This window comes from Homo sapiens, chromosome 3 (genome assembly GCF_000001405.40).
Source record: "Homo sapiens chromosome 3, GRCh38.p14 Primary Assembly".
NCBI classification, from domain to species: Eukaryota; Metazoa; Chordata; class Mammalia; order Primates; family Hominidae; genus Homo; species Homo sapiens.
This window is the reverse complement of record NC_000003.12, coordinates 23,858,692-23,880,712: the sequence shown is the minus strand read 5'-3', so window position 1 is coordinate 23,880,712 and position 22,021 is coordinate 23,858,692. Positions and strand designations below refer to the sequence as shown.

The 22,021-nt window shown below is 43.6% G+C and overlaps 1 protein-coding gene and 1 pseudogene across 4 annotated transcripts in view, besides 1 other annotated feature; one reads left to right on the top strand and one right to left on the bottom strand.

Moving 5' to 3' along the window:
- UBE2E1 (ubiquitin conjugating enzyme E2 E1) overlaps positions 1 to 22,021 on the bottom strand; it is an 85,686-nt gene that overhangs the window by 10,928 nt on the left and 52,737 nt on the right. The window lies entirely within an intron of this gene.
- Positions 1,017 to 1,732, top strand: ARL4AP4 (ARF like GTPase 4A pseudogene 4; annotated as a pseudogene).
- Positions 15,002 to 15,761: an enhancer, noted in NCBI's record as "H3K27ac-H3K4me1 hESC enhancer chr3:23906443-23907202 (GRCh37/hg19 assembly coordinates)". NCBI's record gives its function as "activates a minimal SCP1, AML or CMV promoter by ChIP-STARR-seq in primed H9 embryonic stem cells {active_cell/tissue: H9 hESC(primed)}" and the evidence as "EXISTENCE:reporter gene assay evidence [ECO:0000049][PMID:30033119]".

Genomic DNA, 22,021 nt, shown 5'->3' with positions numbered 1-22,021 from the left:
CCCATTCTCAGTACAGACTTATTACAGACTACTCTGCTGCTCTTCCATTTCAATGGTCAGAAACCAAATCTGCATTTCAATTTTCAAATGACATTATTGATTTCTTTTAAAGAACATCCTGAAGCAAAGTGAAATTTAGGATATTTTTCGAGTCACAGTCTTGCTGTGTCACCCAGGCTGGAGCACAATGTGATCTCAGCTCACAGTAGCCTTGACTTCCTGGGCTCAAGTGATTCTCCCACCTCAGCCTCCCTAGTAGCTGGGACTAAAGGCACATGCCACCATGCCCAGCTAATTTTTAAAAAATTTTATCCATTATTATTATTTTTAAGACAGAGCTTCGCTTGTGTCATCCAGGCTAGAGTGCAGTGGTGCCATCTTGGCTCACTGCAACCTCTGCCTCCCAGGTTCAAGCAATTCTCCTGCCTCAGCCTCCTGAGTAGCTGGGATTACAGGCATCCGCCACCACACCCAGCTAATTTTTGTATTTTTAGTAGAGATGGGGTTTCACCATGTTGGCCAGGCTGGTCTCGAAATCCTGACCTCAGGTGATCCGCCCGCCTCAGCCTCCCAAAGTGCTGGGATTACAGGCGTGAGCCACTGCGCCCAGCCTAATTTTTACATTTTTCATAGAGACAGGCTCTCACCAGGTTGCATAGGCTGGTCTCAAATTCTTGGGCTCAAGTGATCCTCCCACCTGGGCCTCCCAAAGTGCTGAGATTCACAGGCGTGAGCCACTGTGCCTGGCCAGAATCAATTTTTTAAAAGTATCTTTCTATCAAATGAATTTTTACATTTTTTATTGGGAGACAGGACCCTTGCCTACAAACACATAAACCATAGTTCAGATATTATTCTAGGCATAATTTTAGAAGGCTTAGTTATCTGCTGTCATACCCTAGAAAAAAAGTGAAAGGATGAGAGGCTGGGAAGATAGGAAGATAAGCATGCTAGAAACAGACTTGCGGACTGCTGGGCGAGCACTGTTAGAGCAGCCAGGCACACAGCACCCACCTGGTGCCCTGTCCTCCGCCGCGGCCCAGGCCTCCCTGGTGCCCACGGACAGGTATCAGAGCACCTCCCCAGATGTTAGGACAGACGCTGAGTGAAGAGAAGGGAAGGATGGTTAGTCTTATAGCTGGATCACCTACGAAGAGAAGTTCTAAAGCAAGAAGAAAGCATTTCAATTTGGGACATTTATTTGCAGTGGGAAATTGGGAAATGGACTATCAGACCACACTTCTATCCTGTCCAGTCGGCCTTCATTTCAGTCTTTCCACACTGTTTTCCTGGGTTTGTACTGTGCTAGCAAGACAACTGTCTTATACAGGCTGCAGCTCATGAATTTGTAAATACTGTACCTACCAAAAGATTTAACACGGAGAAAATTAAGGTAATCTTGGCAAATTCTAAAACAGTCCCTTTTCACTTCTGGGATGTAGGTGTTTAGGACAAAGTAAGGCCACTGTGGAAGTCATATGCCAGATGCACAGATGGCATTGTATTTGTTGTGGACTCTAGATGTGGAAGGATGGAAGAAACTAAAACTTAACTTCATAAAATAACTAGGATATAGAAAACCAAGCAGTCCCTCTACTTATAGTTGCTAACAGCAAGACTTCAGGAACTCATTCTCTCAGGAACTGATACATTGTTGGCAAGGGGTGAACTGAGCTCATCAAGTCCTTGGCATTTGCAGCTTACCTGTGCAATCATAGGAGATGGACTAAAGCAGCAGTCCACAACCTTTTCTGCACCAGGGGCTGCTTTTGTGGAAGACAATTTTTCCACAGATGGGGGGTGGGATGGTTTGGGATGATTCAAGTGCATTGTATTTATTGTGCACTCTATTTCTATTAGTATTACATTGTGATATAGAATGAAATAATTATACAACTCACCATAATGTAGAATCAGTGGGGAGCCCCCGAGCTTGTTTTCCTGCAACTAGACAGTCCCATGTGGGGGTGATGGGTGACAGTAGCAGATCATCAGGCATTAGATTCTCATAAGGAGCACGCAACCTAGATCCCTCACATGAGCAGTTCACAATAGGGTTTGCGTGTGCCTATGAGAACCTAATGCCATTGCTGATCTGAGCTGACAGGAGGCGGAGCTCAGGCAGTAATGCAAGCCATGGGCAGTGGCTGTAAATACAGATGGAGCTTCACTCAGCTGGCCGGCCTGCCCACCCACTGCTCATCTGTTATGTGCGTGGTTCCTAATGGGCCAGGGACCAGTACGGGGTCTGTGGCCCAGGCTTTGGGGAACCCTGGACTAAAGGAAGGACTTGAGACAACTACATGATAATAATTAAAAGAAGAAAAACGTTGTGGCAACAGAAAAAGAAATGATGACTATCGCTACCTTTTAATCTGTGGGGAGTAGGTTTTCTCTGGTCTGATTTTGACAAATGCAGTGTGTCTACAGCCTGGTTTGCCTGTCTGCCCTCCTGGGTGCTACTGAAGCTTTGTTTTGTTGAATAATCAGATGCCCAACTCTGTTGCCTTGTGGAAGATGAGTAAATGTAGTGCGTCTTAAAGTGGTCTCTTCTCCCTACCCCACAAATCTTCTGGTACTACCATTTGGGGAAGCCAAGCAAGGATAGTAAATTGACCAGAACACAGTTGTGACATTTGACCTCAAGTTAGTGAAATAAAACTTTAAAGAGTAGGGGGGAAAAAGAGACATGCGGACAGCAGCAGAAGTAAGAATGAAGGAAGGGGCAGAGGCAGGGGCAGGGTAGCAACAGTGCCAGCGTATTTCAAAAAAGGGCAGAGGCTTGGGATCAACTGAATTAGAAACTCAGTTCTACCTATTTAAAAATCTCAAGTAATTCCTGATATTATCTCATAGTACAATGACTAATGTTTCGTAAAAATAAAGAACTGGCACTTGGAATAAGCTTTATCATCATCCTCAGAAAGCCAGATGTGGCACGGACTGCTTATTAGCTACTGCATGCCTATTCTCCTTTTGTCTGTGGAAGCTTCATGATAAGCTTCTATGTCACTTACATAAAGTACATCATTCATATCACAAACCCCCCCAAACACCCATATTTCAACAGTAGTCTTAGAGCAGTGGTTCTCAACTGGAAGTAATTTTGCCTCCTACCCCACCCCCTGACGTTTGGCAATGCTTGCAGTCATTCTGAATGCCACAAACGGGAGGGAGGTGCTAATGGCATCTGGTGGATAGAGGCCAGGGATGTTGCTAAACATCCTACAATGCACCAGACAGCCCCCACAAAGAATGATCTCAGCCTACAATGTCAACAGTGCCAAGGCTGAGAAACCCTGCCTTAGAGAAAATTTGCTCAGGGTTAAGCTAGTAAAGGGAAGAGCTTCAATCTGAATCCCAGCTGTTAGACTCCAGTGCCCAGTCTTATTTTATTTTTCTGTGCCTGGTACACCAAAAAAGGATCAATATATATGGTTGCTGTTGTTATTATTAAAAGTTAATTTGCATATACCCTGAATGTTCTGTAGACTGATATTCAAAGTGCCGCCTCTGGACAAGCAACATCGGCATCCATCCCCTGGGAGTTTGTTAGAAATGCAGACATCAGACTCCACCTCAGACCCTATCAATGTGCATGTTAACAAATGATTCTTATGCACATTAAAGTTTGAGAAGCCAGCTACAGAGGATTATTAAGAGCAATGAATACCAACTGTTTCTTTCTTTGAGACAGTGTCTCACTCTGTTGCTCAAGCTGGAGTGCAGTGGCTCAATCACAGCTGGCTCAAGTGATCCTTCCATCTCAGCCTCCTGAGTTGCTAGGATTACAGGCGTGCATCACCACACCTGGCTAATTTTTAAATTTTTTTTAGAGACAGGGTCTTGCTAGGTTACCCAGACTGGTCTTGAACTCCTGGGCTCAAGCGATACTTCTGCTTGGCCTCTGAAAGCACTGACATTACAGTAGTGAGCCACAGTTCTGATTTTCTAGATTTAAATTACCATTAATATTATTTAGCTCCCTCCTCCCTTGTCTACAACTCTTTGCAGTAATAAATATGCATCAACCCTGGTAATGCCTAGCTCTATTAAGACAAAAAACAAAAACAAGAAACAAAAAACAAAAAACCCAAAACTGAATTTACAAAATGCTTATATGAAAAAAAAATCCAATTACATCTACATTCCCTATGACAAACACACTACTAAAAATCCACTCCTGATTTACTCTTCTATTGCTAAGAAATTCATAGAGAAGATAAGCTATGAAGGTAGCAATCTACCAGAGATACTGGGTGAAAGCTGCCTTCTCCATGAGATCTACTTGGTACATTCTTACCCTCAGCACCCCTTCATAAAACAGTAACCTTTTGTAACCTAGAAGCGAGTGGCAGAAGGAACTTGAAAAATGAGAAAACTTTACTAAAGAAACTAACAGGGTAGTGACACGATTTTGTAAGTGCTATTAAAAAGCAGGGCGACCACTGCCATAGTCCTAATAACTAAGTTAGAAGGCTTCCTCACCTAAGGTGAGGGGAAGAGGAAAGGAAGAGGCTCTGGTACTGTGAGGAATGTACCATTCAGGTTAACTATCCCTTGGAAAGAACTTGCAGACCTAGAGCCAACCTAAAGGGCTCCCCAGAAAAACTAGTACCCACACACAAGAATTCACATATTTGGCTGGGCACAGTGGCTCACGCCTGTAATCCCAGCACTTTGTGAGGCCAAAGCGGGCAGATCACGAGGTCTAGAGATAGAGACCATCCTGGCCAACACAGTGAAACCCCGTCTCTACTAAAAACACAAAAATTAGCTGGGCGTGGTGGCGAGCGCCTGTAATCCCAGCTACTCAGAAGGGTGAGGCAGGAGAATCGCTTGAACCTGGGAGGCGGAGGCTGCAGTGAGATGAGATCACGCCACTGCACTCCAGCCTGGGCGACAGAGCGAGACTCCGTCTCAAAAAAAATTCACATTAGTGGTATCCACTGTATCAAGGAAGTTATACTGGAACACGGTGGGGCTAAATAGGGGATATATCTTCCTAACTATGGGAAGGAGACTATCCCAGGCACTTAAGATCTCCAACAGTGTGGCCATTTAATGGCCTTCTAACAAAGCCCTCCAAAAGTCTTGTAACAACAACACTGAGGAAATGGTGCCTACTGTCTTCCTCTAGCATAAAGTAGATAAACTTCCGAAGGAATTTTTGACATAACTTTTTGTGACGCACAAGGATGATTTGTGGCCTATGGAAGCTATAGAGTTCATTTTTAAAATTTGTTCCAAACCAGGAAGAGAATAGATTTGTCTGGGTATTTACACAGACTGCTATAGTCATTTGGATACAATCTTTTGTACATCCGAATTTAAGTCTCTAGGGGGTAGTAATTTCCCACACATACTACAGGACTTGGCACACTAACAGTTACCAATATTTAATTAGATGATCAAATATGTACTACTGTTTGGGATTATACAACAGTGTTTCCATATTAGGTAAAATAATTAAAACATCACAAAAGCTCAATCTTGCCCAGTTAGTCATTCAATCGTAGGTCTTACTGTATATGCTGCTGCTCTAGGGACAGTCCAGCACATCTGGAAATTTACATTCCAATATTGAAAAAAATTAGATGACACTGTTTTTAAAAGAAAACTACTTCCAAGTAACTTGTAAGTAAAGGGTTAAGTTACTCTGGTAGGGATGACAAAAGAAGAGCAGACCTAAAAAATGTGGACATTAGGGGGTCACTCTTAACTAGGGATGGCTGAATGAGGAGTTATTAGTACAGTGAGCTAAGGAACCGCACTTTCCCTTCTGGCCTGTCAGGGTAGTCGTGGGGGTAGGTGGCAAGCAAGTAAAATGACAAAACTAGTTCAATGCCAAGTGCCTGAAAGAAGCAGGGGTTGGGGGTACGGCAGTGATTAGAATTAAAGTAAGATCAGTATCCCTTGTGTCTTGAAAGCCATTTTCCTCTATAAGATTAAACATGTAGGTAAGTCAGGATAAAGGTGGATCCAACAATAGGTCTTTTCTGCAGGAATTATACAAGCCTGAGTTGGAACAATTCTAATCTGCCCTTTCGCCCAAGAAGTTAGAAAAAACGAGTCAGGACAGAATCCAATGCTGTGTGTGTGTGGTGATGACTCCTCTATTCCCACTAAAGAATCCAGAGCTTGGGTGTCTGGAATCTGCCTTATGGTGGAGTCCAGATTCTTCAGTTGCAATGCTTATGCTACCATACACAAAACTGCTATTTGAATGAGTAAATACCAACGGGTTATTAGTCCTGGTTCTTCAGTTCACAGGGCACAACTGACTCTTCTATTGGGATGATTAACTATATTGTGCATAAGTGAGAGTCAGCTGGGGGAAAAGCAGAGCATCTTGTTCAGACTTTTTGAGGGGAGAACGTATTGTTAACACCTCTACCCTCCACACATTTAGTGCTGATCCCCAAAAGCAAGAGTGTCACAAAGAAAGTTTTAAAAGGATACCAAGATTCTCTTAAAGGAGCTTATCAGGTTTTACTCAATTCTAAGAAAAGATTCTGGCACACATCTTTGATTACGAAATTAATTTTAGCTAAAGGTCTCCCATTACACTCAGCTCCTTATGCAGCTTCCACACTGCAACTGCTGCCAATCTCAAACTCCAGGTGGGGCAGTCAGGGGGCTGCTAGGTCAGTGGGAAGCATGGGAAGTGACACAAGTACAGAGTTCAAGAAACAGACTTCAATAACTTGCTACAAAGCAGAGTTGTGTGAACAGTCTTGCACAGTGATTTTTTGCTCACTGTGTGATATGAATCTATTATTTTATTGTTTGGCAAAACCTTTATCTGGTAATAATAATTTTCAGTTTTTTGTTGCCCACTTTTGCTTTCAAAAGTGTTCCAACTTGCATGTTATATGGTTACCCTATTTATGAAGGAATCAGAACACCTCCCTGCACTGGTCAATCAGCCTGAAACTCTCCTGCCGGTCTCTTATTTTTTTTTCTTGAGACGGAGTCTCGCTCTGTCGCCCAGGCTGGAGTGCAGTGGTGCCATCTTGGCTCACTGCAACCTCCGCCTCCCGGGTTCAAGTGATTCTCCTGCCTCAGCCTCCCGAGTAGCTGGGATTACAGGCACACGCCACCATGCCTGCCTAATTTTTGTATTTTTAGTAGAGACGGGGTGTCACCATGTTGGTCAGGCTGGTCTCGAACTCCTGATCTCATGATCTGCCTGCCTCAGCCTCCCCAAAGTGCTGGGATTACAGGCGTGAGCCACCGCGCCCGACTGCCTAATTCTGACATTTTGCTGCTGCTTCAACCTCAACCTCCACCTGCACCCTCCCAGGGCCATGGGGTCTCTCATCCTAGGTCCGGCTCCCTGTACCTTCCCTCAGTACAGAGCTCATGTGAATTTGAAGGATAAAGATGCCTTCAGCTGAAGGTAGCATTTACATCATCAGGGAAAAACTAGGCAGTTCTCCCAAGACCCTTTCAAGGGAGCCCCATAAAGTCAAAACTATTTTCATAAATCTAAAACATGACTTACCATTTTTACTCCCATTTTCTCACATTTGTACTGTGAGATTTTCCTGAATCTACACCAGGTGTGAGAGGGCCACAGCCTGAATGCAGAAGCAGGTATGAAAATCTACCTGTCTGCTAAGAAGTCAGACATTAAAGTCATCTGCAAATATGTGAAATAGTACCAGTCTTCTAGGTTAATTTTTTTTTTTTTGAGATGGAGTCTCGCTCTGTTGCCCAGGCTGGAGTGCAGTGGCGTGATCTAGGCTCACTGCAACCTCTGCCTCCCAGGTTCAAGCAATTCTCCTGCCTCAGCCTCCTGAGTAGCTGGGACTACAGGCATGCGCCACCACGCCCGACTAATTTTTGTATTTTTAGTAGAGACGGGGTGTCACCATGTTAGCCAGGATGGTCTCGATCTCCTGACCTCATGATCCACCTGCCTTGGCCTCCCAAAGTGCTGGAATTACAGGCACGAGCCACTGCGCCCAGCCTAGGCTGTTTAATTTTGAAAAACAGTTTTCATTTAAAATGTTATTTATATTAATATGTTTTTTGTTATTTTAAAATCAATCATAGATGTTTTAAATAATTGTTTTAATTGTGAATATGGTAAAAATCCATAACTGTTAACCATATAATCAAAAGCTGCTGGGGCCTGAAATAAATTTTAAGAGTGTAATGGGGTCCTGAAACCAAAGAGTTTGAGAACCACTGGGCAGATTATTTTTAAAGTATTTTGGTGTAATTGGTTAACCATTAAAATAAGTGCTTGATTCTTACTCCCAGACATTAAAAAACAAAAGTTAAACTAAGAATTTTAAATAGGCCTCTCCCTCTCCCTCTCCCCCTCCCCCTCCCCTCTTTCCACGGTCTCCCTCTGATGCCGAGCCGAAGCTGGACTGTACTGCTGCCATCTCGGCTCACTGCAACCTCCCTGCCTGATTCTCCTGCCTCAGCCTGCCGAGTGCCTGTGATTGCAGGCGCGCGCCGCCACGCCTGACTGGTTTTCGTATTTTTTTGGTGGAGACGGGGTTTCGCTGTGTTGGCCGGGCTGGTCTCCAGCTCCTAACAGCGAGTGATTTGTCAGCCTCGGCCTCCCGAGGTGCCGGGATTGCAGACGGAGTCTGGTTCACTCAGTGCTCAATGGTGCCCAGGCTGGAGCGCAGTGGCGTGATCTCGGCCGGCTACAACCTCCACCTCCCACCCGCCTGCCTTGGCCTCCCAAAGTGCCGAGATTGCAGCCTCTGCCCAGCCGCCACCCTGTCTGGGAAGTGAGGAGCGTCTCTGCCTGGCCGCCCATCGTCTGGGACGTGAGGAGCCCCTCTGCCTGGCTGCCCAGTCTGGAAAGTGAGGAGCGTCTCTGCCCCGCCGCCATCCCATCTAGGAAGTGAGGAGCGCCTCTTCCCGGCCGCCATCCCATCTAGGAAGTGAGGAGTGTCTCTGCCCGGCCGCCCATCATCTGAGATGTGGGGAGCGCCTTTGCCCCGCCGCCCCGTCTGGGATGTGAGGAGCACCTCTACCCGGCCGCGACCCCGTCTGGGAGGTGAGGAGTGTCTCTGCCCGGCCGCCCCATCTGAGAAGCGAGGAGACCCTCCGCCTGGCAACCGCCCCGTCTGAGAAGTGAGGAGCCTCTCTGCCCGGCAGCCACCCCGTCTGGGAAGTGAGGAGCGTCTCCGCCCGGCAGCCACCCCGTCCGAGAGGGAGGTGGGGGTCAGCCCCCGCCAGGCCAGCCGCCCCGTCCGGGAGGTGAGGGGCGCCTCTGCCCTGCCGCCCCTACTGAGAAGTGAGGAGCTCCTCTGCCCGGCCAGCCGCCCTGTCCGGGAGGGAGGTGTGGGGGGGTCAGCCCCCCGCCCGGCCAGCCGCCCCGTCCGGGAGGTGAGGGGCGCCTCTGCCCTGCCGCCCCTACTGAGAAGTGAGGAGCTCCTCTGCCCGGCCAGCCGCCCAGTCCGGGAGGTGAGGGGCGCCTCTGCCCGGCCGCCCCTACTGGGAAGTGAGGAGCCCCTCTGCCCGGCCACCACCCCGTCTGGGAGGTGTACCCAACAGCTCATTGAGAACGGGCCATGATGACAATGGCGGTTTTGTGGAATAGAAAGAGGGGAAAGGCGGGGAAAAGATTGAGAAATCGGATGGTTGCCGTGTCTGTGTAGAAAGAGGTAGACATGGGACACTTTTCATTTTGTTCTGTACTAAGAAAAATTCTTCTGCCTTGGGATCCTGTTGATCTGTGACCTTACCCCCAACCCTGTGCCCTCTGAAACATGTGCTGTGTCCACTCAGGGTTAAATGGATTAAGGGCGGTGCAAGATGTGCTTTGTTAAACAGATGCTTGAAGGCAGCATGCTCGTTAAGAATCATCACCACTCCCTAATCTCAAGTACCCAGGGACACAAACACTGCGGAAGGCCGCAGGGTCCTCTGCCTAGGAAAACCAGAGACCTTTGTTCACTTGTTTATCTGCTGACCTTCCCTCCACTATTGTCCTATGACCCTGCCAAATACCCCTCTGCGAGAAACACCCAAGAATGATCAATAAAATAAAATAAAATAAAAAAAGAATTTTAAATAGGAACTTGAAGAAAATATAAGTGAACAGTTTTATAGTTTTGGAAATAAGAGAAGCCACTTGAACTCCTGAGCTCACTGATAAACTATAGCAGAAGCTGTCAGTGCCTCACCAACACATCCCTTAGGATTCTGGTGTGCTGTGGCCAAGTTCTAGCTACCCCTATCTGCGCCTCTGTGCTTAAAGCTGCTCTGCCCATAGCAATAGGCAGAAATACAGGTAAATTAACTCCCTGTGGCAGTTTTACAACACCGTCCACAGATTGTTTGAAACTGCTCAAAGAGGCAGAGTCTAATTCCCCTCCCTCTGAATATGGGCTGGTGATATTTAAGTCTAAAGTGATATAAGTGTGACTTCACAACTGGCTCCTTTTTTTAAAAAAAGGAGCTATGGTCCCCCCGGCCCCCCATCTCATCCTGCAGCTGTCTGTCTCTCCCTTTCTATGTGCCTTGGAAACTCTAAACATCACATAAGAAGCCTAGTACTGCAGAGACCGTGTGAAGAGACCACATCAAGAATGAGAATTAGCCAAGAAGCCCAAGGTGTTACAGCCCTCAGCTGTGGGCCTTCCCAGCCCAGGTGGAAAACCAGACATGTAAAAGTGAGGAAGGCTTCACATGACTCCAGTCCTAGCCCCTGTAACTGCATTAGAAAGCTTCAGTAGGAACCAACCAGCTGAGCCCAGCCCCAAACTCTATATCTATGAAAGATTATAATCATAATAAAAAATAGTGGTTTTTGTTTAGAATATTTTGTTATGTAGCAATAAATAACTGGAACACTCCCCCCAAGAGCAGCCCTCAATGAATAACTGATAATTTGGGCGGGATCATTCTGAGGCAAGTGTTCTGCCCAATTTCCCAGTTTCCACACAGGCAATTTTCCCTGTGGGGTTTGGCTTAATAAGACATCTTTTTTTTTTTTTTTTTTTTTTTTTTTTGACACAGGGTCTCACTATATTGCCTGGGCTGGTCTCGAACCCCTGAGCTCAAGCAATCTCCGACTGCCTCAGCCTCCCAAAGTGCTGGGATTATAGGCATGAGCCACTAAGCCCAGATGAGACATCTTTTATTGACTATCTTTTCTTCCTTAGCTTCCCTTTGTTCTTTGTACCTGGAAATAAACTACTTGTATTTGAACTCTCATCTCACAAGTCACCTTGGGGTGAGGGGGCAGGCAGGAGTGCAGGAATGACCAAAACTGAGACATCACTGAAGTTAACACACACACACACACACACACACAGGAAAAGACCAACAGATCTGACTACATAAAAATTGAAAATCCTTAAAAAAAAAAAAAAAAAAAAAAAAGGATACCATAAAGTTTATAAAAAGGTTGGAGGGGGTATTTTCAGTTCATGATTAAGGGCTAATATCTTGACTAATTTAAATAATAATAATGGATAAAGTACACAGGCAGTTCTCAAAAGTGGAAAATAAACATATGGCAAATAAACAGATGCACAATCTTACTTAGACTCAAAGAAATACAAGTTAAACACTCTGGTACTTTTACCTATCAGAATGGCAAAAATTTCCAGTAAACACTTTGATATAGAAATTCTGCTTCTTGGAACTTACCCTAAGGAAATAACTGGACACGTGCATGTGACTATAGTATAAGGATATTTTGGAGACTCTTACTTATATATGATGAAAAAAATTTGGAATGAGCTAACTTACTGACAGGAGATAGGTTCATTGGAGTACAACCATATGACAGTATACTGTACAGCTCTTAAATAAGAATGAGGTATACATACTAAGCAAGGAAAGAAATCCAGAAGGATTGAAAGAAACAAGTTCCACAACAGTATGCAAAACAAACATTTTTGTAAGATATAAATATACCCGAACTTAATAGTGGTTATACTTGCAGGATGAGATGCAGGGGATTTTCTCCTTCAAACAGATTCCAATTATTGAGATTAAAAAAAAAAAACAACACTGTGTTTACTTCCCAATTTCTATTCTGAAGGACAAAATAAAGGTAGAAGAGATGGAATCTAATCTACCTATTAATGTAGAAAGTAAAGTAATAAGAGAAAGTAAAAGTGGCCAGGCATGGTGACTCATGGCTATAATCCCAGCACTTTGGGAGGCTGAGGCAGGCGGATCACAAGGTCAGGAGATCGAGACCAGCCTGGCCAATATGGTGAAACCCCATCTCTAATAAAAATTCAAAAATTAGCCGGGTGTGTTAGTGGGCGCCTGTAGTCCCAGCTACTCAGGAGGCTGAGGCAGGAGAATAGCTTGAACCCAGGAGGTGGGGGTTGCAGTGAGTGAGATCGTGTCACTGCACTCCAGCCTAAGCAACAGAGGGAGACTCCATCTAAAAATAAATAAATAAATAAAAATAAAAAATAAAAGTAACTATGGTCACCCTAGGGTAAGCAGCGTTTCTGAGTAGAAAGCCAATGCTTTAAGGACTTGGAAAGGTGGGGGGGATACTAAGTCTGGGCTATCAATAATTCTTACTCCAGGCATTCGAATGTATGTTTCATTTAAGCCCAGTTTTCACAGTTATTTTTACAACAAAGTTGCTTAGGAACTGAGGGGAGATCTTTTGACTTATTTTCCTGCTTCATTCCAAACATGTTTTCAATAGTGACCCACTGATATGCTACATCTTTGGGTAAAAAATATCTAGAACACTCATTCATAGGAAATATTTATGACTGCTGCCATTCCCATCTATAGCCCAATGAAAATCATCAGTGACTACAAGGGGTTTGGGTCTCCTGTGGCTCTGTGGTCACATTGAAGGACAGATTTTGGCCTTATGATAAAAGCTTCCACTGACATTTTATTGGAAAATTTGGAAATACTCAGACTAAATGGATACTATCTCACTGTTCTGCCTTCTCTGCTCCCTCCTCTCTATTCAATTCAGGTGCTCTTTCCTACCCTCTTCCTTCTCCTTTGCTCTCAGACATGGGACTGACATACTGAATCTCTAAGAGACTACAAAACCTGCACCAGTATAAATGAAAGGGCTCAAGTGTACTCCAACAGCAGGATGCAAATCTGATTTTGAAATGAGACAGGGGGACCGGAGAGCCCACACAGGAGAAACTTTTGCCAAAAGAGGGTGCTCTTTCTCCCTTCTTTAATGTAGAAATACCAACTGTTATCTAAGATAATTATTTGTCAATTTATCTAAACAGTCAAAACACATGGAAGATTTGAAATGGGTGAATTTAATTGTGTATAAATTACACCTCAACAAAGTTGATGATAATTTATCCAAATATAAGCAAAACCAAAGTTTGAACTCAATTCTCCAGAATTTATTACATACAGGTTTGTTCTGACCTACTATTTGTACATCTAAAGTATCACTCCAAGAACCAACATAAATCAAAGACAGAAAAGTACCCTAACACAATTGCAGAGAAATATATAATTTTCAAAGTTCCTTCACAAACTTTGACTTCTTTTGATCTTTGCCTAGAATCTTTGAATCAGGAAAGGTAACATTTATCCATTTTAAAGATGAGGAAAATAAAATACATAAAATATAAAAAAGACAAGAAGAAAGTAATACAAAATAAAGAAATACATTTAAAAACAAACAAAGAGAAAAAAAAAAAAGATGAGGAGAAGGATTCAGGATTAAGTGATTTGTTTGTACAAAGTCAGAAAGCCTGGAAGTCAGTTCTGGCTAATGGCAATCCAGGTTTTCTTAAGGTGATATATTTTTACTACACCCATGAAGCTTAAAATAAAGTTACCTGTCTTTGGACTCAACACAAAAGTTGTTTAATCACAATTACTGGTCTGCCTTTCCTACCTTATTATTTCATTTCTCTTTCACATTTGGATGGAAGCCAGGATTAAATAAGAACAAGAAAATCTTGTGATCTGCCAAAAGGTGTTATTTAAATTTCTTAATACCAAAAATTAAATCACTTTATTTGCAGAAATCAATTAGGTGAAAATAAAAGCATACCACACACAGTACTTAGTGTGGAGAGGAATTTCGATAATAATGTGACAACTCCAAAAATGCAGAGAATCCCCCACCTTAATGAAAACCAAAGACATTTTGGGGAAACAAGCATCAGTTCAATTACAGTCCAAACGTTATGCCCCTAAGCTGCAAAGAGAACAAGAAAGATGCACAATTCTTTTTTCCCCCTAGAGCTAAAAAAAAGCAGGTATAGAACATGAGACCTACTTTCTCCAGCTCAGAAGTTAGGTTGGTCCCACAGTCCAGGAATTCAGATCCACTTCACTCTATTCCATTCTAGTTCACAGTGGCACTGGGAGGTCCAGCAGTCATTAGAATGACCTGCACTGAAATGTGAGGTCAACCCCTGCCTGAGGATACAATATCACCCACTGCTCAATGCTCTGTGAAGCTGAGGCCTCTGCAACTTCTTTGTTCCCTCCCTCTCCACTGCAGGATCCACAACTCAGAACTACCAGGAAATAACAGGGTCAGGAGGTGAGGAGAGCTATTTACTGCACTTGGGGGAATCACTGGCTTCTTTCTTGGCCCCGGCTGGCCTGGAGAGACAAGAGGAAGGCTGTTTATATTTGCATAGGGCTGAGAGACTGAATGAGTGAGGTTATGCCCTGCATGTCAAATACAGGGCTGGGCTTGGAGGGGAGGGTCTGGTTGCTTTCTCATTGCCAACTCTTTCACCCAGGCGAATCCTTGGTCCTGCTGTCTACACACACCCTTCTAGCTGAGCAGTAGACAATAGCTTTCAAAAGGCTAGATGCTGCAGCAGCAGCAGCAGCTAAAGAGGCCCACAGATGGAGGGCTGATGTGGGACATTTCACAGCTACCTAAACGTAACAAGCCTAGAATGACTGGTAAGCAAATACTGGTGGCCACTGGTCAGGCACGAAACTGGCTTGTAAGTTAACAGACGGCAGAGTCATATGCTACTTCATGTTGGTATCAGTTGGTTTCTAAAATGATTCAAACAGTCATTTAATACCAAGAAGTCCAAAGCATTATCCCCAAACAGAGAAGGGTGCTGACTTACAAACATGTCCTATTCCAGCCAAGTGCTCACAGGTGTGAGCCAGCACTTTGGAAGTCCGAGGCAGGCAGACTGCTTGAGCCCAGGAGTTAGGGACCAGCATGGGCAACATTGTGAGACCTCATCTCTAAAAAAATACAAAACACAGCCGGGCATGGTGGCATGCACCTGTCATCGCAGTTACTCGGGAGGCTAAGGCGGGAGGATCACCTGAGCCCTAGGAAGTTGAGGCTGCAGTGAGCCGAGATTGCACCACTGCACTCCGGCCTAGGTGAGTGACAGAGTGAAACTCCATCTCAAAAAAAGGACTAAGTCTTAACTGACTGAAGAGTCTCCTGCTAGCCTTGAAGAAGCAAGCTCCTATGACATAAACTACCTAAGAAAAGGGCTAGAGAACTATGAGCGGCCTCTAGGAGTTGCCTGGGCCTCAGTCCCATAGCTGCAAGGAACTGAATTCTGTCAACAACTATGTGACCTTGTAAGAGCTACAGATGAGGACACAGGCCAGCTGACTCCTTGACTACAGCCAAGAGAGACCCTGAGCAGAGGGCTCAGCTAAGCTATGCCTGGATTCCTGACCCACAGTAACTGTGAGATACTAAATGTGTGTATTGTTTTGGGCTGCTAAATTTGCAGTAATTTGTTACACAGAAAGAGAAATCCTGACAGTCTGAAATTTATTTTCAGAAGAAGTTGAAACAGAGGGTCTCTGCACCAGTGGTCATTAACATGGATGAGGGCAGAGGTGCTGTACTGAAAAAGAGCTTATGCATGCAGGACAGTAAGACCCCAGTTTTCTTTCTCCACTCAGCTCCCAGAACACAGGCCGGCCTTCGCCCTCCAGGCAGTCTCTTCTGGGGAATATGAGCGACTCAGAGGAAAGACCTTTCTAACTAAGGAACAGATAACTGAGGAACATGGTTCTTTTCTAACATAAAAATCAAAAATCAAAACAAACTAGAAGATAGCCAACTACAGAAAACAGAAATTATAGGGAGAATTTCAAAATAAACTTATTAATATCCAGAGAGACAGAATACATTGCACTTATGAAAAAAGAATAAAGCCAAAACAAAATAACATTCAGAGGAGAAAAAGTAGCTTTTGAAAATTAAAAACAAAAGCAAGCAAACAAAAGATTTCAAAAACTCAATAAAAGATAAAGTTGAAATCTCCCAAGAAAGTAGAAGAAAGGCTGCAAATAGGAGAGAAAAGATACAACAATTAAAGGACCATAGGAAGGACAAAGATTTGAATAGTGAGAGTGATCCAGAAAGGGTAAACAGAGAGGAGGTCCAAAATAACTTAAAACTTACCAGGCCATGAGTTTCCACATTGAAAAGGCACAGTACATTGGAGGAAAACTGACCTACACAAGGTGGCACATCAAGTTTCCAGGGAGAAAAAAAAAAGTAATGTGTAAGAAACCCCAAATCAGCGGGCTTCAGATTTCAAAAGCAATAGTGGGAGTAAGCTGGCACTGAAGCAATGTCTTCAAAATGATTTCCAATACAAATTCCACACCAGACAAACTATCAATCAAGTGCTAGGGAAGAATAGAGATCTTTTCAGATACTTGAGGTCTCTAAAAAATTATCTCCCAAGAATCCTTTTTCAGGAAGTTACTGAGGGATGTACTCTGCAAAATAAGGGCATAAACAAGAAAAAGATAAAGGAAACAAAACTTCTATGTAGAATAGTAAAGAGAATTCCCCAAAAGACAGTGACACGAGAATCCGGTATGACAGCTATAAACAGAGTTAGCAGGTAGCCTGTTAAAACCAGAAGAGGTCAGATGGCTCTGGGGAGAGATTTCTTCAAAAAAGATAAAATTCAGGCTGGGCGCGGTGGTTCACGCCTGTAATCCCAGCACTTTGGGAGGCTGAGGTGGGTGGATGACCTGAGATCGGGAGTTTGAGACCAGCCTGACCAACATGGAGAAACCCCATCTCTACTAAAAATAGAAAATTAGCCAGGCGTGGTGGCGCATGCCTGTAATCTCAGCTACTTGGGAGGCTGAGGCAGCAGAATCACTTGAACCCAGAAGGCGGAGGTTGCGGTGAGTTGAGATCGCGCCACTGCACTCCAGCCTGCGCAACAAGAGCGAAACTCCGTCTCAAAAAAATAAAAAGTAAAATAAAATTTATATAAAACCTATGCATCTGAATGTCTTTTGAGGACTTTTAGATAATTGTGAAGGCATCTGGGGTTGAATTTGTGACAAGTATATATATGTAGTGGGTAGGGAAGGGCACAGAGGGAGAAAGGGAGAGGGGAAAAGGTGAGAGAATAACTTGGGGAGGGAGGTAGTCAAGCAAGGAAGGAAAAGTAACCACATGTGAATAATGCTCACATAATATAAACAGTGAATATTTTATCAACATTGATCTAAGCAAAACAGGATAAAGGAAGAGTGTGACTAGGTAGGAAAGAACTAAGTTGTCATCATCCATTGTCATGAATCAAGAGTTATTGGTAAAAACTGAAATATAAAGTAATATGAGTATATACCTAAAAACAGGATATAAACAACAAAGTACTCGGCTCAAGGAGGTACAAGTAGTTGCCACTAGAGAGCAAAATGCTGGGAATAGTTTTTTTTTTTTTTTTTAACAAACAAAGAAATATTAAAGCCTTTAAACTATGTTAGTGTATAATTTCAATAAAAATGAAAACTATTGGGAGGCCAAGGTGGGAGGATTGCTTGAGGTCGCAAGTTCAAGACCAGCCTAGGCAACACAGGGAAACCCTGTCTCTACAAAAAATTTAAAAATTAGCTGAGTGTGGTGGTGCATGCCTGTAGCCCCAGCTACTTGGAAGGCTGAGGTGGGAGAAATGCCTGAGCCCAGGAGTTTGAGGCTGCAGTAAGCCGTGATGGCACCACTACATGCCAACCTGGGTGACAGAGCAAGACTCTGTCTCAAAAAATAAATAATAAGAAAGATAAGACGGAAAGGAAAAAGATAGTATCTTACAACCTATAACCATGTGACACAATTCTTTACCAAATGAAGTTCCTCTGCCATGCACAATGGTGGTATATTTTTCCAAATGATCATCTACTTGGTCCCCAGAAATCAAGCATAACATATTAGCTTAATATTATAGATTCACCACATAATTCAGGGATAACTATATGCCAGGGACATATAGTTCATTGCACACTGCACCACATATAGTACAATACAAACTAAAAAAATGTTTTCAAAGGAACAGACAGAACACAGAAATGTATTCTATGGAAAACTGAGAAGGTTTCACAGTGTAATGGTATCTAAGTTATGCTTACAGAGCTTAATACGTTTTTTTCAGGGGAAAGGGTGACCAAACCGAAGAACTTTTGGTACAGAGATGTGTTTCTCCTGCAGAAATGAAGGTGAAGATAGAACCTGAAAGATTAAATGAGACCAGAGCAGAGAGGACCTTACATGCCTGCTAAGCAATTCAGATTTTAATAGCTTTGCACTGTCACAGCAGTGAAATGGGAAAGGTTCCCTTGTCCCACTTGCAGGTGTGTGATGGGGGTGTGGCTCAATTCTTCAGTGTCCCGCTGCTCAAACCTCTAGGGGAGCATACAGACAGGCGGGCTGTGAGGCGCCGACCCCACGGCAGTGTCTAGGGGTAAATGTTTACAGCTGAAGCCCCAGTGGGCATATGTTACAGGATGCTCTTTTAGTTTAGCCGTCCATAGGCGGCTTCTGTTAACCAGCTCAATTAGACCCCTGCCTTATGGCAAGGACAGAGGGCTTTCTGTATCCTGGCTTTGGCATACCAGAAGAATAGGATCACATGTGGGCTTGGAGAATGAGTGCGAGGTTTTATTGAGTGGAAGCAGCTCTCAGCAGATGGGGCAGCCAGAAGGGAAATGGTTTTCCCCTGGAGTCTGGCCGCTTGGTGGCCCAACTCTTCTCCAACTGCCCCAGCCAAACTTTGTGTCATTCCACCAGTCGATGGCCTGCTGGCATCCCAGTGTGCTCCTACACCAGTGCATTCCTCTCGACGTCCATCCACCTGTGTATTCCTTCGCCAATGTGTTTCTCTCGGCATCCAGCTTGTGTGTCTTCCTGCTAGGGTCTTGGGGTTTTTATAGGCACAGAATGGGGGCGTGGCGGGTCAAAGTGGTCTTGGGAAATGCAACATTTGGACGTGAAGGCTGGAGTGCCTGTCTTCACCTAGGTCTGTGGGCACAGGCCCGGGGGTGGAGCCCTCGCCAGGGACCCACCCTTCTCCTCCCAGCACTTCCCTGTCTCCCTTCCGTATCAGGAGTGAGGTAACAGAAAACTAGTCACTGTCTTCAGAAATAGGTAACTCCAAACACTGAAAACATCAAACAATTCAGAAACAAGAAGCTACTTAGAGCCTTCAATAAGTGAAGCAGAGAGCCTAATTAAAGAGGCTATAGGAGGTCTAACAACCTGGACAAGAGCACTGGCAATGGAAACAAAATTGTCTCTGGGGAAATCATAACTACTTCATAGTAACAATACTAAAGAGTTATCAATAAACCACAGATCCTCCGAAGGCATCAACACATATACAAATAAGATGTCTACATTCTACCTTTAAGGAGCAGAAGGGAATGCAAACTGTCTTTTTCTGGCCTGTGCAGTCTCCCTGCGGTATTGTTAAATAGACATCCCAAGCATCACTCCAAGCATGGCTGTGTAGCATTTGGTGCAGTCATCACTTACTAAATAAATAAAATGTGACTTTACATATATATATCTCCTTGTCTGTTTATATATTAACATTTCGAAAAACAATCAAATCATGTACCTTCATTTTAGTTCAAAGAATGTTCACCATTAGTTACATCCCTAGTGAATTCATTTACTATTATATGCAATAGTTTAAATATAGTGTACATGCTATTTTAGGTACTACCTAGTTTTATTTCAAGAAGTTAAAAAATAAGGCTTCATATTCTTTAAAAAACACCATTTTGATGTTTATGGCTTATAGCAAATAAAGAGGTAAGTGTATGGGAAAGAAACACATTTAAGCAAAATGAATACTTTTAGTCAGTTCACTTGATACGTTGGTTGGGTTGTGCTTGTTGTTAAGAGCCAGGACCCACAGCTTTAGATACAAGGCACATTCAACACCACGTAAGCATGAGGTAAGATAGTATCAAGATAAACTCATAGGATAGCCACTTTAATACAGTCCATTTCTGACTACTAATTGTACCTCTCTCAGAATTTTGTTAACTAAAGTCATTGTTGATGTTTGGCCATTTTAGTGTTTTGTTAATGTGCGCTTCCATTAACAATGAGCCCCACAAAGCCACAAGGAAGCATACCAGCTAAAACATTGCTAAAAAGGTAAAACCAGAGCGCTAAAGATTTGTCTAGCCGAACAGCTAATTTAGTGAGGTGCAGTCACCAGCATCAAAGGAGCAGTAGTGGCAGCAGAGTCTCAACCCTACAGAAACCTGAGCGGGTCAGAACGTTCATCTTCATCTAGCCAAGGTGAAAGCACCCAGAAACCAAGGACAGACAGCTGTGAGAGCAAGCTGGCAGCAAAGGGCTGAGCTCTGAATTTCAGTCTGGTAGAGCAAAATGATTTTCTCCTTCAGCAATGTCAGAAGAACCATCCCTTATTTCAAGACATCCTTACACATCTGCTGTGTGCAAAACCTGCACACAGGACGTGGTTCTGAACTGCTTCTTCAAAACAAAGTAAATGAAAATTTCAGTGGCTCCAGCAGTCGGGACTGTTAGGCATGAAACAATGAGAGTACGAAATAAATCCTTATATGCTTTATAATAATATAATAAACCAATAAAAATACATATTCATACTTAGTATTTGTTCAATACTATGCTAGGTACCAAAGAATTTTGCCTGCTGGATGGGCAGGTTGAGGCCAAATCATTAAGGGCTTTAAAAACCAGGGAAGACAGTTTACCCTCAATGAACTGGGTAAGGCAAAGCCACAGCAAGTTCTTCAACACCATTTTGGAGAGAATATCTCTGTTTTGCATTAGAGGAAACTGAGGCCCAGAGACTTTAAGTAATTAACCTTAAGGCCATTCAGCTGCTAACTGGCAAAGACTGGACTCAAATCTCTGTATTACAAAGGCCACTCCATTTGCTATGGCATGGCCAACTGTTGCTCAGGTGAGAGAAGCTTCATTTGGGCTAATGTTTCTGGATGAAGAACCTGGTAAGCAGACACTGGTAAGCAGATAGATATGGGTCATCCACATGGATATCAAAGTCACAAGGGTGGGAGCAGGTAATATGGAGAGTCATGGGGCATGTGCTCAGGTGAAGTGAGGAGGTAGCAGTGTTGGAGATGGAGGAAAATTTCCATGCCTCATACCTCCCTTAAGGAGTAAAAGAAAGCAAGAATTTAACAAGAGAGTGAAAGAACAGCTGCAGGCACATTACTCTCTGGGAAGATGAAAAGTAGGTCAAGGATTAAACATCACTTCCTCTCAACCAGCTTCCACGGGCAGAGCAGAAGGATCTGGCCTCAGGCAAAGGCAGGCTGAACTAGAGCTGGCACTAGATATTGTTTGGCCAGGAGTGTTTAGTGAGGTAACTGGTAGTAAGTTTAGACTAGCAATCAGTTCCATTTAATGAATATGGCAAAATTCTAGTAAGATACACAAAAATGGTAAATAATTAATGCCTTTTCTCATAAAACTACCAGCCAAATTGGGGGGTGGGGGACTGTCCAACAATAAATGATTAAAATACGAGGTATTTGATATGAGGTAAATTGTTAAAGACGAGCTCAAGTGAGGGTGGCTTAGAAATGGGCCCAATATAAAAATTTCCTATGGGCAACCCTCCTCTCCCTCACATGTAAGCAGATAGCATGCCAGCTTTCAAGCTCCCTTTCTTTTACTTGTGAGAAAGTGGGGAGGAGGGAGGACAAGTATTTAGGACAAGTTTCTCAAAAATGAATAGCTTCAGTGCTGCAGGTCAGTTGTTCTTACACACGAGTGGTAAGAATAAGAGAA